The sequence below is a fragment of the Homo sapiens genome, chromosome 1, assembly GCF_000001405.40.
Source record: "Homo sapiens chromosome 1, GRCh38.p14 Primary Assembly".
Taxonomy (NCBI): domain Eukaryota; kingdom Metazoa; phylum Chordata; class Mammalia; order Primates; family Hominidae; genus Homo; species Homo sapiens.
In genome coordinates, this window is record NC_000001.11 from 2,333,752 (window position 1) to 2,349,305 (window position 15,554).

The 15,554-nt window shown below is 62.1% G+C and overlaps 1 protein-coding gene across 1 annotated transcript in view; it reads right to left on the reverse strand.

Moving 5' to 3' along the window:
• MORN1 (MORN repeat containing 1) overlaps nucleotides 1-15,554 on the reverse strand; it is a 70,302-nt gene that overhangs the window by 12,499 nt on the left and 42,249 nt on the right. The window contains exons 11-12 of the mRNA NM_024848.3: nucleotides 2,966-3,099; nucleotides 2,718-2,797 (exon numbers count right to left, since the gene is read on the reverse strand). Coding sequence (NP_079124.1) covers nucleotides 2,718-2,797; nucleotides 2,966-3,099 — 214 coding nt within the window. The remainder of the gene's footprint in view (nucleotides 1-2,717; nucleotides 2,798-2,965; nucleotides 3,100-15,554) is intronic.

Below are 15,554 nucleotides of genomic sequence, written 5' to 3' on the forward strand. Positions count from 1 at the left end.
GACAGTGAGCCCTCTCCTGTGCCTGGCACGGGCTGAGGACCCTGCCTGGAACCACTCGGCCACGACACAGCGAGGGTTCCTTGAATGCAAACCAGACACAGCCGACTGAGTGTTGGAGGCCTTTGGATTTGCCAGAGCCAGGTTGGCTGCTGGAAAGAACAGCTTTCTTAGAATTCCGAAAAGTGGGCTCTTTGGGCCCAGAGCCAGGTCTGGACGCTGGTTGGGGGAGCTGGGACCCAGACCAGAGGGAGGGGTGCATGGGAGACCCCAGAGCTTCTTCCTCACCGCAGAGCAGACAGAAGGCATGGGGGTCACAGCTGGGGGAGCCTCAGGCAGGGTCCCCCACTCTTTCCTAAGAGGGGGCCATCACACAAACACCCAGATGGGTTGTGGGGGGTTTTGGCGGGGACAGAGCTGGGGAGGTCCTGGAAGAGGTCGTGAGGTCGACGCCCCGGTCAGCCACAGTTGAGGGCCTCTGGGTGGTGGGGGGGCAGCAGGTGTAAGAACGGTAAGGGATCACGTGGCTACAAGGAACTGGTGGTGGGGGTCAGGCTCCATGGAGGACGAGAGGCACAGGCCCAGGTTTGTCTCTAAGTCGCTGCCGCCCCATGATCCATGGCGGAGAGGCCTGCAAGTGTGCAGCCCTTCACCTCCATGCTGGGTTCTCAACCCAGGAGCGGGCAGAGCTTACGGAGAGTTCCCGATGGGAAAGACTCCCCAGGGTTTCCGCACCCAGAAGACGTAGTAAGGCCAGCTGCATGGAGAGGCGGGGCTCCCTTGGGGGAGCAGGCCTGGTTTTGGGCTGCCTGTCCCAACACGACGAGAGGGCCCTGGCTGTGTGGCCGTGGAGCCGGCAGGAGGCAGGGGAAGTGGCCGCTGGTCACAGATGTGTGCCCCGAAGAGACGACATCATTTGAACACTGAACACTCCGACTCCGCGGCCAGGTCGTCCTGGGATTGAAACAATCCTAGTCCAACGACACTTAACTCGAGGACAGTGCGAGCCCTTTGGCTGGGAGGCCCAGGCTGGGAGCAGACGCCGACCCCTCCGTTCTCTCAGGTGGAAAAGAACGAAAGCCTTCTTTCTGCTGAAATAAGACGTTCCAACATCACCCTCAGCGCGGAGGTTGCCACGGTTCTGGAGCGAAGTGGAGGTGCCGCCCTGGGCGTTCGGGTCTGTGTGAGTCTGTGGGAGTGACAGAATGTCTCGGCTTTTGGCTCTCGCAGACGCTCCTGAGGCCGAGTCACTGGGCAAACAGGGCCCCAGCACCTGCAGGATCTTGGCTGTTTTTTAGTCTCTGCTTCTGAAGTTATCGTACAAAGTGAGTTTCATATTTAATTCACAAACCATGACTCAGAGCCGGACAGAGGGCGGCGCCTCCCCCATGCGTGAGTGGCATCGAAGGCCTGCCAGTGCCAGCACCTTGGCAGCCCCCGAGCGTTCCCCACGAGGGGCCTCACTGCAGGGGGCTGCAGCAGGCCCTCCTCCCACCTTGCCGGACCTCTTCCCTGGAGCTCCACCGGTGGGCCTGTGTTCACTGCCTTGGCTATTTCCATACCCGCCCCACCCCCGGCGGAAGCAGGAGGCGGCCCCGGCACACTCACACTCACACTCACGTCCGCTTCTGTTTGCCGGATGGGCAGAGGCAGAGGAGGTCTCGAGGGCCCAAGACCCCGTGTTGGTCCCAGGCAGGCGCTGGGGATGCCTGGAGCCCTCCTCTGCCCCTGAAGCCCTTCTAGGGCGGCGACAGGGGTCTGGTTCTCCACCCACCTGCCTTGCCCAAGGCCCCCGGTGCCACCCCTGTCCCAGGAGGGCTCATGTCTCTCAAGAGCAGGTGATTTTTCCTGCAGGGTCTGTGCACCGCGTCACCAAAATCTTTTGCTCCAATCAGGAATCCCAAACGTCACAGCTTCCACCCAAGGAAACAAGAGCGAGTGCCTGGCAGGCGGGTGGGAGCGGGGCGGGTGCTGGTCACTCTGCGAGCAACCCAGCAGCTCCTCCACAGTGTGCGGGGCCAGGCGAGGGCTGGTGGGACGGGTCCCCAGGGCACATCAGCGGGGGCCTCCTCGCCTCCATAGCCCAGCCCAGCCCAGCGCGCAGCTGCCCCCAATTTGTAGACAGAGTCCCGATTTGAGGTGGCAGCTGTTGCTGGACTCCGAGCCCCGAGCCCCAGCTTCCTCCTGGTAGAACCGGCCGGTTACGGCCCTGCATGTGCTGTGCCCGTAGCACTGCCAGGCCCAGGATGGTGAGATGTGACGGCCACAAACCCCCCACGGTGTCCCCGCCTGCACGTGCCGCGGTGTGCACCTGGTCCCACTCCTGTCCTCCAGCTCACAGAGTCCCCTCAAGCCACTGCCCTGAACCCTGGCCACCAGCCGTCTTCCTCTGAGAGGCCCCGCACCCCTCCTGCCTCTCTGCTTCTGCATGCCCACAGCCTGGTCCGCCCGGCGGGTCTGGGAGTTGTGGTGATCGAAGCAGATGGACCGGCTCCAGCTCCACCCACTTCATGCCAGCCCAGGCAAGTCGCAGGGCAGCTGTTAGCCCCGCGAGACCCTGGCTGGCGGGGGGGCTCTCTGGAGCGAGGCCCGTGTAGGCTCACTGTCTTCCCAGACCAGGCCCTTGGCTCCCCTGGGCCTTCCCCGTCCTCCTGGCCCAGCTGATGAGGAGGCCACAGCTGACCCTCCGAACACCTGCAGGTGGGGTGGGCTCATCCTACCTGCTGCCTCCAGGAGGCTCCTGTGCCGTGGGTGGTGTCCCCCTGGGGTGCAGGCCGCCTCTGGATCTGCCGCCTGCCTTCTAGAAAGATTGGGCAGGAGGAGGGGAGAAGGAAAGGCTCAGAAGGTGGGCCTAGGAGCTCTGCTCCAACCCCCCTGGGGCACACATGGCCTGGGTGTTGAGGTGGTGGGTGGGCAGGGATAGTCTGAGTGATGTGGGGTGGCCTCCCCGCCCCCCGTGGGCACCCACCTTGTGGAGGCTGTCCAGGAACAGGAAGGGGTGGTACCCAGGCGGGGGCGGCCCCAGGAGGACATCTGTGAACTCGGCACAGCCCTGCTCCACTCGCTGACAGGCCCCGGGACAATGGGGCGCATGTCCCCTGGCTGAGGAGACAGAATGAAGAAAGACCCTATGAGGGGCTCAGGGCGGAGACGGAGGGAGCCCCACAGGGCTGTGCTGAAGTGTGGCTCTGGCCAGGGCAGCGGGCACAGACGCCAGTCGCGATGCCATCTTGGTGGGGGCAGGTCAGGGGGCAGGGACTGTCCATCCTGGGTGCTCCCTCCGGCCGCCGACAGGGGAGGTGGGGGTCCTCCGTGTCCACGGCCTCTGACGCCCCCGCCCCCTTCTGAGTCCACCCCAGCGCCAGGGAGCCCAGCGCTTTGCAGTGGGAAGGGTCTCCCATCAGCAGCCCCCGTCAGCCGAGGCACTCGCTTCCAGGGTAGGGCCGGGACCGGGGCCCTGGCCGGAGAGGCTGGCGCTCAACAGTACAGCTGTGTGCCCTCCTCGGAGCGCAGCATGAGGAGGAAGATGGTTCTGCCCCAGCGGCCCATCAAGATGGACCTGGCGTCAGGACCCGTTCTCCACAGGCGTGGAGGGAGACACCGAGGGTGGCTGCGAGTCCCTCCACGTGGCGGCAGACCCCAGGTCCTCGGGCATCAGAGGCGGGTGTGGGCGGGCTCAGCCTGTGCATCCCTCAGTGGGACCCCTGCAGGCCCTTGCCCAACCTAGCTTTTTCCAGCCCCTCTCCCGGGGTCCCAGGGTGCGAGGTATGGGGGCTCCCCTCTGGCTTCCCCCACGCACAGATGGAGCTGCAGCCCCCAGGGCCCACCCTGCTGTCTCTTTTACAAGGATGGTCAGTGGCTGAGCCTGAAGGAGATAACTTCAGTGCAGCCCCTCCACACACACACATCAGAGCCCACGTTCCTACGAGCAGCTCGGAGCTGTCCTGACACCGCTGCCCCGAGGGCCCCCCACTTGCACACACCACTGGGAGGAGGTGCTAGCAGGAGGCCACGGGATGTGGTGAGGGCTGGAGGTCGGCACCAGAGCTGGCTGGACAGGGGAGTTCTGAGAGGGAGGCAGGGGCTGGGGCGGTGGCTTTAGGGCCACAGATGAGTGTCCCCACCAGGCAGTGACACCATCAAAAAAACAGAAGAGACCCAGCTCCAGGATGGATAGAAGGGTGGAGCCAAGACAGTGCCCAGGAGGGAAGGAGGAGTCAGGGGCTGCTGAGGGGTGCACAGGAGGCTGGGTCTGTTTGGGCTCAGCTTCATTTGAGGCCAGAGCCCAGGAGGCGGGACCCTCACATGGGGCCCCGGGGCAGCCCCCTCTGTGGGGCTCTGAGTGAGTGGAGGGGCGCTGGATAGGACCTTGGGGCTGGAGGCATTAATGTCCCTTTCCCGGAGCCCAGCTTCTGTAGGGAGCGACAGAGACGCTAGGGAGAGCCAGCCTCAGAAATATTTCCAAATTACAGGTGGGAGAATTATCTCTCTCAGAGGTGTCTTAATTTAATCATTATGGTGCATTATAGAGAGAAAGTCTTCCCTTCTGCAAGGACACTCTTTAACTGACATCCTTCTCCCAGCAGCTTTTGCTGGCCCGGCACTATTTACGTCCGGGGCAATGGCTGGGAGCTGCACTGCTGACGGCATAATTTCCATTTCTTAACGCACCGATGGTTTCCACGTGGACTGCACTGGAGCTAACTTGGACTGCGTCTTTTATCGACACCCCCTGGACAATAAAGACACCAGCTCTGTATCCTAATCATGCGGACACCCTCACCCTCGGCAAGGTGACCGCTCCAGAGTGGGCCCAGATCCCGAGCCCCAAGTACACATGGTTCACACGGTGGCGGGGGCTTCAGACCTCCACCTGCCACGTGCCATTTGCAGGGGCAAGGTGGGAGTTTAGAAAAGGTATTTTTAGAAGCCCAGCAGGCATTCCTGGCGTGCAAATAAACATATATCCACATGGAGCCTGGAGGGTGTCTGCATCGCTGAGGCTTGGGGGTTCTGACCAAGCTGTTTGAAGAGCCTCCTTTGCCTGGTGATCACAATGGCTGGTGCCAGGCACCTTCAGGCAGGTTCTCACGACATCCCTGCTCTCCTCAGAGTAAAGGCTGTCGTGACTGTCCCTGGCTGATCAGCAGCCGAGGCTCAGCCAGGTAAAGGGAGCCCTCCCTGCGCAGCACAAACAGAAATTAACGGCTTTCAGTTCAGCAGGAAGAGGACAGAGGACACCAGGGCCTATAAAGCCGGGTTCCTTGAGCCTGTGTGGGTTTGACACGTGGGGTCCCCTGGAGGTGCAGGCAGAAGCTCTCCTCTGTGCGGTCCCTGTCCAAGAGTGAAGAGGAGGCCCTCCGGGTTGGCCAAGACGCTTTTTGTTGCAAGCGAGAGAAACGAGAAATGGTGAAAAGCGGAAGGGGAGGGTCGTCCCCAGCCTTGGCCTCAGAGGAGCCTTCTAGATCCCAGCGCATCTGGACCAGGAGCCCACACCGTGTGTCTTTCTTCTGGATGTCACCTCCCCCTCCCTCAGGCTCTTACCGCCGCATGGCACGGGTCCACGGAGGGGGCGTTTCTGCTGCCACACGGTGGGGACTGCCTGACCATGAGAGACAGCGGTCCACCTCTGCCATGCACTCCCTGAGTCGGGGCTGCAGGCTGACCGCAGCGGCCCCTGGGTCCTGGCTGTGACCGCCTTTCCCGAGGCCGGCACCGCACCCGCCAGGTGCTCAAGCTGAAAGTTGGGGGTCAGCCTCGTTGCCCCTGCACCATATCCTGTGCACCCACAATTTCTGCAGCTGCAGCAACAAGGCTGACATCAAAGCTGCCTTCAAAACATATCTGTACCTGGACCCCCAAGGCTCCCCACTGCCCTGCCACACCCCCGCCAGGCCCCAGTGTCTCCCACCGAGTCGCTGGCACTGCCCTCAGCTGCAGCCTAACTCCTGGGTCCCCCTCGCCCTTCAGTCCATTGTTTACACGGGACCCTCACACGGAAGCCAGGTCAGTCCCTCCCTTGCCGAGGGCCCGGAGCTCAGCCCAGCCTGGCCCCGGCCTGATGCTGGGCCAGAAACACCACACAAGCTTGCGCATCCCCTAAAGAAAACGAGGGCACGGGAAGGCCCAGCCAAAGTGTCCTGCGGGGCTGCTCCCCGTGGAGCACGGCTTGGAATCCCTCGGCCGCTCCTGCTCAGGGCACCCTCTGTGCAGACACAGGCGCCTCCGCCGCGCGGCTTCTCCGTGTTTGCTGAAGACGCAGGTTTTCCAAGGCTGCGCCTGGGCTCTGCCGCTGACATCAGGGTGGCCCTGGCCTGAGCCCCCACTTGTCCCCCGGTGTCATCGGCTACAGATGGCCACTGTCCCCACAGGCCCTGTTTCCTCCTGCCCCTGGGCCCTCCGGGAGACCTCGGAGGCTGCTGTCCCTGGGGTAGGCTTGCCCCTCCTCTGTTCACACCCCTCTTTGGGTGGTCACCTCGCTTCCCATGGACACAAGCACCACGTTCAGCCAGATGACCTCTCACCTGCCTCCTCAGGGGCCACACACCCAGCCCTGGCGGCCAGCAGCCCCCTCATGCTGTGTCCTGCGCATCCCACTCCCTGCAGACACCAGAGCAGACCTGAGTCCCTCCTCCAGCTCAGCCTCCCCTTGCTGAGGGGCCTGCCCTGCCCCTGGCCACTGACTCCTCCCCTCGCTCCATGACACCCCTCCACCCACACAAGTCTCCCCAAACTTCTCGGATCCTCCTTGTGGGCACCTCCTTGGCTGCAGTCCTGGGGTCTGGGCCATCATCTGTGGCTCGGAGGACTGCAGTGGGTCCCTAGGCCTCCAGCACCCCTGGTCCTGTCGCCCACTGCTTGTGTCCAGCACATGGAGGACTCAAGGCAGCAGGTGGACCTTGTCACTCACCGGCTCCACGTGGCCAGAGGCTTTTCCTGCATTGTGAGCATAGGCCACCACACAGGCCACGACGGGCCACCACACAGGACACCAGACTGCCACACAGGCCACGGCGAGGGCCGCCACACAGGCCACCACGCAGGGCACGATGAGGGCCGCCATACAGGCTGCCACACAGGCCATGATGTGAGGCTGCCACACAGGCTACCATACAAAGGCCACGACCTGTGGCCGCCACACAGACGGCCACATAGGCCATGGCAAGGGCTGCCACACAAGCCAAAACATGGGGCCCATAGTGCAGACCGTGATACCAGCCACGAGACCACGACGCGGGCTGTCCTACGGTCCTCTCCTCCTTGCACGTCTCCACCCGGCCCCTCTGGCCCTGGCACTGCTACTCGTCTGGTGCAGGCTGGCCTTGCCCTTCTGTCCCGGTCCCCACACCACCTCGGTCTGGTGGCTCCTCCCGACGGAGCCTCTCCCAGCCCTGCTGTGTCCCACCTGTTGCCTGCTGCCCAGCTTCCCCTTTGTGGATCTGTCCCCAGCAGAGCACACTTCCCTGTCTTGTCCCCAGCGGTCCCCAACTGGTCCTGGGCATGCTGCTGACCGTGCGATGGCCAGGTGCCTGGCCGAGCCAACTTGCTGGTCACAGTGTACCTGCCCCCCAACATCACCCCCTTCCTGGGCATCACCCTGCTCATGCCCCCGTCTGCAAACTTGCTCCCATTAGGCCAAACCACTGAAAAGAAAAGGCTAAAAGGGGCCGGGCGTGGTGGCTCATGCCTGTCCCAGCACTTCGGGAGGCCAAAGCAGGCGGATCAGGAGGTCAGGAGATTGAGATCATCCTGGCCAACATAGTGAAACCCCGTCTCTACTAAAAATACAAAAATTAGCCAGGTGTGGTGGCAGGTGCCTGTAATCCCAGCTACTCGGGAGGCTGAGGCACGAGAATCGCTTGAACACGGGAGGCAGAGGTTACTGTGAGCCAAGATCGCTCCATTGCACTCCAGCCTGGCCACAGAGCGAGACTCCGTCTCAAGAAAAAAAAAAAAAAAAAAGAAAAAGAAAAGGCTAAAAGTCTGATGGCAAGTGCCCCCCAAAGGCATTAAACTCAGAAAAGCCGAGGTGCAGAGACACCTTCGGACAGCGCAGCGCCCACCGTCAGTGGAGATCCTCTCTTCCCCGTCTGAGTGGTGCCCGCCAGCCCGAGTGGGCCTCACTCCAAGGCTCAGGGAGACACATTCTGTGATGGATGTGTCAGCTCATCAAACTCTGGGCTCCACGGGCCCCAGAGGAACCATTCGTGATGGAGAGTGAGGGTCCCCGGCAGTGTCTGGGGCACTTCCCGAGCCAAGGCCATGCTTGTCACCTCCTGGCAGGCATGCCCCTCCCCAGCTCTCAGGAGTGCCTTCCAAGCCTTTATGCCAGTTTTAATGACATCAGTTACAGCTTTATAAGCAAGATAAAGGTCACCGTACGACCTCGGGGGCCTCGGGAACCGAGAGGCTGAGCCAGCCCGGGACGGGATCGGGCAGCTTGACCGCTCTGGAGGGAAATTCCAATTCATTATCTTTTTACGGCGGACTCAATTAGACTCCCTAGTCACCTGTGTAGGGCACCAGGCAGCAGGCAGGGATGCTGCCCGAATCAACAAGGCTGCTCGGGCCAGGCCAGCCCCAAGAATAGCCGCGGCAGGCGCAGGACCTGGCCAGGGGGAGGGCAGGCCGAAGCAGAAACGTTGACTTCGTTTAAGTGGATTAAAAACATAAAACGTTATTGGCCCTAAGGGGACGAGAACAGTCTCGTTTGGAGGTGACCAGACACAGGGCATTAGTCTTTAAGAGTCCATCAGTCAGCCGAGAAGCGCGGCTCATTAGAGACGCAGGGTGGGGCCTGGAGAAGTCAGCGGGAACACGCGGGGGCACACAAGACACATGGGGGGCCTCTCGGACTCCCCTGCTGTCCCCAGCCCCGGGCTTCGTCCTCACCTCCCTCACCCTTCTCACCTCCCACACCGCAGACATGGCTCTGCTGACCCAAGCCACCCAAGATCCACGAGGAGGTGTAGGCTGGGCCAGCACTGTGCCTGGCCTCCCTCAGCAGAGCCAGCATGGGCCCTAGCACTGTCACCGAGAAGGGACCTGGGCTGGCCTTTCCTTTGCCTTTTTAAATATTTTATTTTATTTTATATTTTATTTTATTTTATTTTATTTTATTTATTTTATTTTATTTTATTTTATTTTATTTTATTTTATTTTATTTTAATCATAGAGATGGGGCCTCCCTTTGTGGCCCAGGCTGGCCTTGAACTCCTGAGTTCAAGCAATCCTCCCGCCTCAGCCTCCCAAAGTGCTGGGATCACGGGCGTGGCCCCGCGCCAGCTCCCCTGCCTTTCCTGAGGCATAGAAAATGCGCTTGACCCTAAGCCTCCATCTCCAGTAGCCTCCATCCTTCCTGAACGTTCAGAAAATAAAAGACACTCCAGAGCTCCTGGGGCCTGGGCCGTCGTGGCTGCTCCTGCGTATTTGGCAAGCATGATGCTGACGTTTCTCCACTGCTGCCTTCAGACCTGCCTCTGGGACCTGCGGGCACCTCTGCTGGTAAAGCTGCCAAGACAGGACTGCTCTGGGCTCTCTCCGTGCCCGCCCGCTCCTCGCCTCCAGGAGCCCCCCACAAAGCTGTCTGTGTAGCTGCCAGAGCCGCTGGGCCCTGTGACAGAGCCGCCGGGCCCTGGGGATGACGCTGCGGGGCACCAGCCCTGCCGGGGCCAGGCGGGTGCCGTTCCAGCCAGGCGGGTGTGGGGCAGGCCCCTCATCTTGCTCCTGATCCTCTGGGGGTGCTGTGCTGAGCAGCAGTGGCCCCTCGAGGACTGAGACTCGGGCCTGGGGGCCTGGCCAAGGTCCGGGGCTCCCTGCGGCTGCTGTCCTCAGGGTTCTCCTCACCTCCACTGCATTCCCACGAGCTGTTCTGAAGCTTTCCTGGGGAGGACAGGCCAGGAGCCACCCTGCCACAGCTGTCCTGGGCTCTCAGATAGACAGAGGCCTCGCGGAGCCTTGGAAGCAGCTTCACAGGGTGGCAGGAGGACGCACAGCCGCAGAGGCCAGCTTTCCCGGGGACTGGCTGCCTCCCCAGGCTTCTAAACACCATGGCACCCGCCTCTGGCTTGGGGTTTGGACTTCTTTTAGCAAAACGATGAACAATCCACGGCCCCATTCTTCCGGAAGAGAATGGAGGAAACCGTGGTCCCATGTCTGCTGGGCGGGATTCCCGTAGGCCTCCCCTGCTGCCAGCTGTGGGGGTGACTGAGGCGGGACTGGGCCTGGGGCTGGGGCCAGGGGCAGGGTGGGGTGGGGGTGGGACAACTTCCCTGGGACCTCCTTCCCGGCCATCGGCCTTCTTTCCCATCTGGAGCAGGAGAGAAAGGAGTGTGGGAGGGCCTGGTCCAGACCCACCAGAATCAGGCCACAAATGCCCTACAAAGCAGAGAATGTGAGTCCCCACAGCCACGGCTGAGGAGGATGTCCAGGGGCACTGCCCTCAGGCGGCCTTAGGGGCCCTTCTTGCGAGAGCGGCATCACCTGAGGGCTGGGCGTGGCCAGGCACAAGGGGCTGGCGGGCCTGGGAGGGATCTGCAGGGCAGGTTGAGACATGGTTCTGAAGCCAGGCAGCTGCTCCCCAGAAGCTCCGGTGAGCACACTCGACAAGGTGGTGCGGCGAGCTGGCTCCGAGCGTCCCCCACAGGGCCACATTCTCACTATTGGGGTGGCAGGAAGGCCCAGCGACCAGGAGCATGTGTGGGGTCTGGGAAAGGCCTGGGGGACGGGGTGTGGGGTGCAGGAGCCCCAAGGCCGATGCTGCTGAGGAGGCCAGGAGCGGGGACCGCACAGACGGCAGTTCCTCTGGAGGGGGGTCCCGTGTGGGCCGGGCTGTGCAAAGGACACACTGGTCCCTGCTGGCCTCTCAGGGCAAGCGTGAGGACCCTGGCCTGCTCCGGCCTCCTTCCCTGGGGGCCTCGTCCCTGCGCTGCACAGATGGGGCCCGGCCGCCCCAGTGGGAAGGGAAAGGGGGAGCGCTGTGCCAACTCACAGGCTCTACGAGCCACAACAGCTGCCTGCAGAGCCTGGGGGCAGGGCTGAAGCTGGCCATGGAGGACCTTGGGGGCCACCTCCACCTTCCAGCAGCAAATGCCAAGTCCCCGAATGCAGAATTCTGCCAGAGGGAGCATGACCGTCTCTCTGTTGGCACAAAGCGAGAGCATCAAAGACAGCGTCAGCCCCCGCGAGGGTCCACGCATGCTCACACTCTGCGCTCATGGATGGCCACACACACCCTGAAAACGGCGTCAGCCTCCGGGAGGGTCCACGCGTGCTCACAGCACTCATAGATGACCATATGTGCCCCGAAGACAGTGTCAGCCTCCAGGAGGGTCCACGCGTGCTCACGCTCTACGCTCATGGATGGCCACATGTGCCCCGAAGACAACGTCAGCCCCCGCGAGGGTCCACGTGTGCTCACCTGCGCTCATGGATGGCCACATGTGCCCGCACCCTCGCACAGGCATGGGCGGTCCCCAGGCTGCCACACTCAGGGTCTGTCTGTGCCCCGGCACCTCCAAGCCATTCCTTCCACCAGGCCAGGGCCAGGCCTGGACACCTGCCACCTACCACCCGCTGGGGCAGCAGCCACGCACTCCCCCACTGCTCCCTGTTGGCGGCCAGGCATGGGCCGGCCTTGTTGGGGGACACAGGACAATTCGGGGCACTTGTCTTGCCTCCGTCCTCCTTGGAGAGCCTCGGGCTCACCCTACGTGGCTCTGAACAACAAGGGCCAGGCTCTGCACCGGGGGACCCCCTGCCCTGCCAGCCGGACCCTCAGGCCGCTCAGAGGGCCAGTCCCAGCACCTGCCCCTCGCCAGTGGACACAGGCTGCCGGCAGCATTGCTACTGACCAGAGACGGAGACGAAGGCACCCTAGCCGGCAACATAGGGGCTCTGTGTCCCAGGGTCTCCTCGAGGAACAGAAACTGTGCCCTGAGGGCCTAGGGCCAGGCTGCGGTGAGCAGCTCTGACCCCAGGTGCCTGGGTGCCCATGCCAGCCAAGCTCACGCCAGCAGAGTCACTGTTCACAGGCCCTGCCAGGGGAAAGCAAGAGCACACACACAGCCACATGTATGCGGCCACACACACACACACACACACACACAGATGTTTGCTCTTATCTCTATGACGCACACCCCGAGCTCACACGCCCCAGGCCCATGGGTTCTATCTTGTCTCCCCTTTTCCACGTCTGCCAAAGATGCAGCCTGCATCTGTGATGAGACCTCAGACAAAGCCACCAGGAACCTTCCTCAGACAAAGCCACCAGGAACCTTCCTCAGACAAAGCCACCAGGAACCTTCCTCAGACAAAGCCACCAGGGAACCTTCCTCAGACAAAGCCACCAGGAACCTTCCTCAGACAAAGCCACCAGGGAACCTTCCTCACACAAAGCCACCAGGAACCTTCCTCAGACAAAGCCACCAGGGAACCTTCCTCAGACAAAGCCACCAGGGAACCTTCCCTGAAAGGCCTGGCCTGAAAGCTTCACAGACGCCAGGGTGCCCGCAGTCAGGGAAAGGCCCCGGAAGGTTCCCAAGTGCTGGGAGGCTGAGGCAGGAGGATCACTTGAGCCCAGGAGTTTGAGGATTACAGGGACCTCACCTGGCCTCGAGATACATTTTATTTTGTTTTTATGTATATTTTATTTTTTGAGACAAAGTCTCGCTCTGTCGCCCAGGATGGAGTGCCGTGGCGCATTCTCGGCTCACTGCAACCTCCGACTCCCTGGTTCAAGCGATTCTTCTGCCTCAGCCTCCTGAGTAGCTGGGATTACAGGCGCCCGCCACCACACCTGGCTAATTTTTGTATTTTTAGTAGGGATGGGGTTTTGCCATGTTGCCCAGGCTGGTCTTGATTTCCTGACCTCAGGTGATCCACCCGCCTTGACCTCCCAAAGTGCTGGGATTACAGGCGTGAGCCACCGCGCCCACCCTGAGATAAATTTTAAAGGAAAAGACAAAAAAGCACCCCCTTCTCCTTCCCCCATCTCGACCTAAGAAGGGTGTTTGGGTGCATCCTCAGCCCCTCAGGGTGTTCCAGCCCCCAGCCGGTCCGAGTACCGAGGCTCCTGCCGGTCACCCCTGCTGGGGTCTGCCCTGGGGAGCAGGAGCTGTCCTCCTAGTCTGGGTGGGGCCCAGCTCTCCCTGCCCACCCCCGGCCCAGCTCCCACTAGCCCTGAAGGCCACCGTCCCGCTGGCCAGGGCTGGACTGGTGTGGGTGCTCCCTTCCTCCTAGGAGAGGGACTCCTGGGTCCTTCTTGGGAGATAGGGAGCTTCTTGGGACATGGGGACTCTTGGGAGATGGGGAACTTCTTGGGAGATGGGGAGCTCTTGGGAGATGGGGAACTCAAAGCACCCTACCCAGCTGCACTCTTGGCCCCATGGCCCCAGGACCTGGGATGCCGCCCCCACACAGCTTTGCTGGGGGAGGTGGTTTCCCACTTAGAGTGGCAGGGGACACGTCCCCTTGGGGCAGCTGGTGGCCAGTCTGAGTCTGTTCAGAGGCTGCGACTGTGTGCCAGTGCCAAAGCGCCTCTAGAAAGGAAAGAATCTAATGTGCCACGAAGGCTCCATCCCCAGCTGCAGGTGGCAGATGGCCCGTGTGTGTGCTGTGTGGCTGCGGCTGCCCCCTACCCCCGATCACCCATCCCGAAGCAGGGTATGGGGCACTCCATGGAGGGCACTGGTCAGGCACAGGCTGTCTCCAGGGGACACCAGGGAGGAGGATCCCGAGTGGCTGAGACCCTGGCATCTGCAGAGGCGCCCCCAGGCCCACACACCCCATGACCTCAGGGGTCTAGGCCATTGCTGGACAGGCCCCAGATGACTTAGAACCACCAGGCCAGCTGCTGGCCCCATAGTCTCGGTGCAGGGGGGACGGGGCCACGCAGGTGTCCTCCCCACCGTGGCTGCCCGTGCGATGCTCCCAGTGGCCTCAGGGTTAGGTTCTGACTGCGGGACAGGGAGGTGGACTGCACGGCTGCTGCAGCCTTGAGGCTCCTGCTCGGCCCCCGCTGCCCCCGTCACCCCCCTGCCACCCTGCGTGCCGGGTGCACAGGTATTTTACATTTTGGGGTAAATGTTTAATCAAACATTTACAGAAAAGTCACAGGTAGAGTACAAAGAATGTTTTCGCTGGGCCATCTGAAAGTCCGCTGCTGAATTTGCTCCTCACTCCACATCCTCGAGTGCATTTTACAAACCGGGAAGTTTTTCGCCTCACGTAACCCAGCACAGCCGTCCCGGGGCAGGGCACGCCTCGGGGTCAGACCCCAGCCTGGGCTTCCCCGTGGCCCAGTGATGTCCCTCGCAGGAAGGAGATCAGCCTGGGACCACACATTGCAGCGAGCTCTCATTGTGTCTTCAGTCTCCGTCGGTCTGGAACATTCCCGGGCCTTTCCCTGACTGCCATGGTCCTGGCGTCTTCGAAGCTTCCAGGCCAGGCCTTTCAGGGAAGGTTCCCCCGTGTGGCCGTGTCTGAGGTCTCATCACAGAGAGACCCGGGTTACGCATCTTTGGCAGGAGAGGCATGGATGCGACGCTCATGCCTTTCATGGATGGCTCTGCTCAGCCCACGCTGCCAGGTGGGGCAGGATTTTCACTGACCCAGAACCAGTGGAGTCCACCGTGAGGCTGGTGGCGCGTCTCCGTGGGGAGCTGACTCCTCCTCCCTCTGCCCTCCATGGGGGAAGTGCCTCCATCCTGCCCCAGCCTGGATCCGCCGCTTCTCCAGGGAACCCCGGTTCTTTTCAGACGCGCACCTGGGTACTGTGTCCGCTCCTGCCTGCTGGGGAGCCGCTGCCCACGGGCCCTGCCAGAGCCGGAGAGTGCACACACACGCATGCGCACATACGTGCACCTAGGCAGGCACGCACGCACACACGCACCTGCGCAGGCACGCACACACGCACGCACACGCACACCTGCGCAGGCACGCACACACACGCACGCACACGCACACCTGCGCGGGCACGCACACGCACACCTGCGCGGGCACGCACACACACGCACACCTGCGCAGGCACGCACACACACGCACGCACACGCACTCCTGCGCGGGCACGCACACACACGCACGCACACGCACACCTGCGCGGGCACGCACAGTCATGTGCACGCACACACAGCCATGTGTACGCAGACATGCACACAAACGCACAGGTTCACTTTCTATGATGCAAACCCCCAGTCCACACCCCTGAGTGCCAGCCCACGGGTTCCTTCTTGTCCCCACTTCTTTGTGTCCACAGGCCCTGCTGCACCCCTCAGCACAGGGACACCCCATGGATGCTGCCTCCATCACCCCCTCAGGCCCTGTGCTTGGGGGCTTCCCTGCTCCATTGGGCCCAACGCCCAGAGCAGGGGCTCGGAGACCCCGCTGGCCACCCCACTTGGCAGGACTTGATGGCTTTGGGACTGAATTGTTCCAGGCGGGAAGGGGAGGGAAGAACAGGAAAGAACCTCAGAGAAGAGAAAAGGACCTGTGGAGGAGGAGGGAACCTGAAAGCTTAAGCTTTTACCCAAAAGAGCAGCCACCTCCAAGGAGGCTGCTTA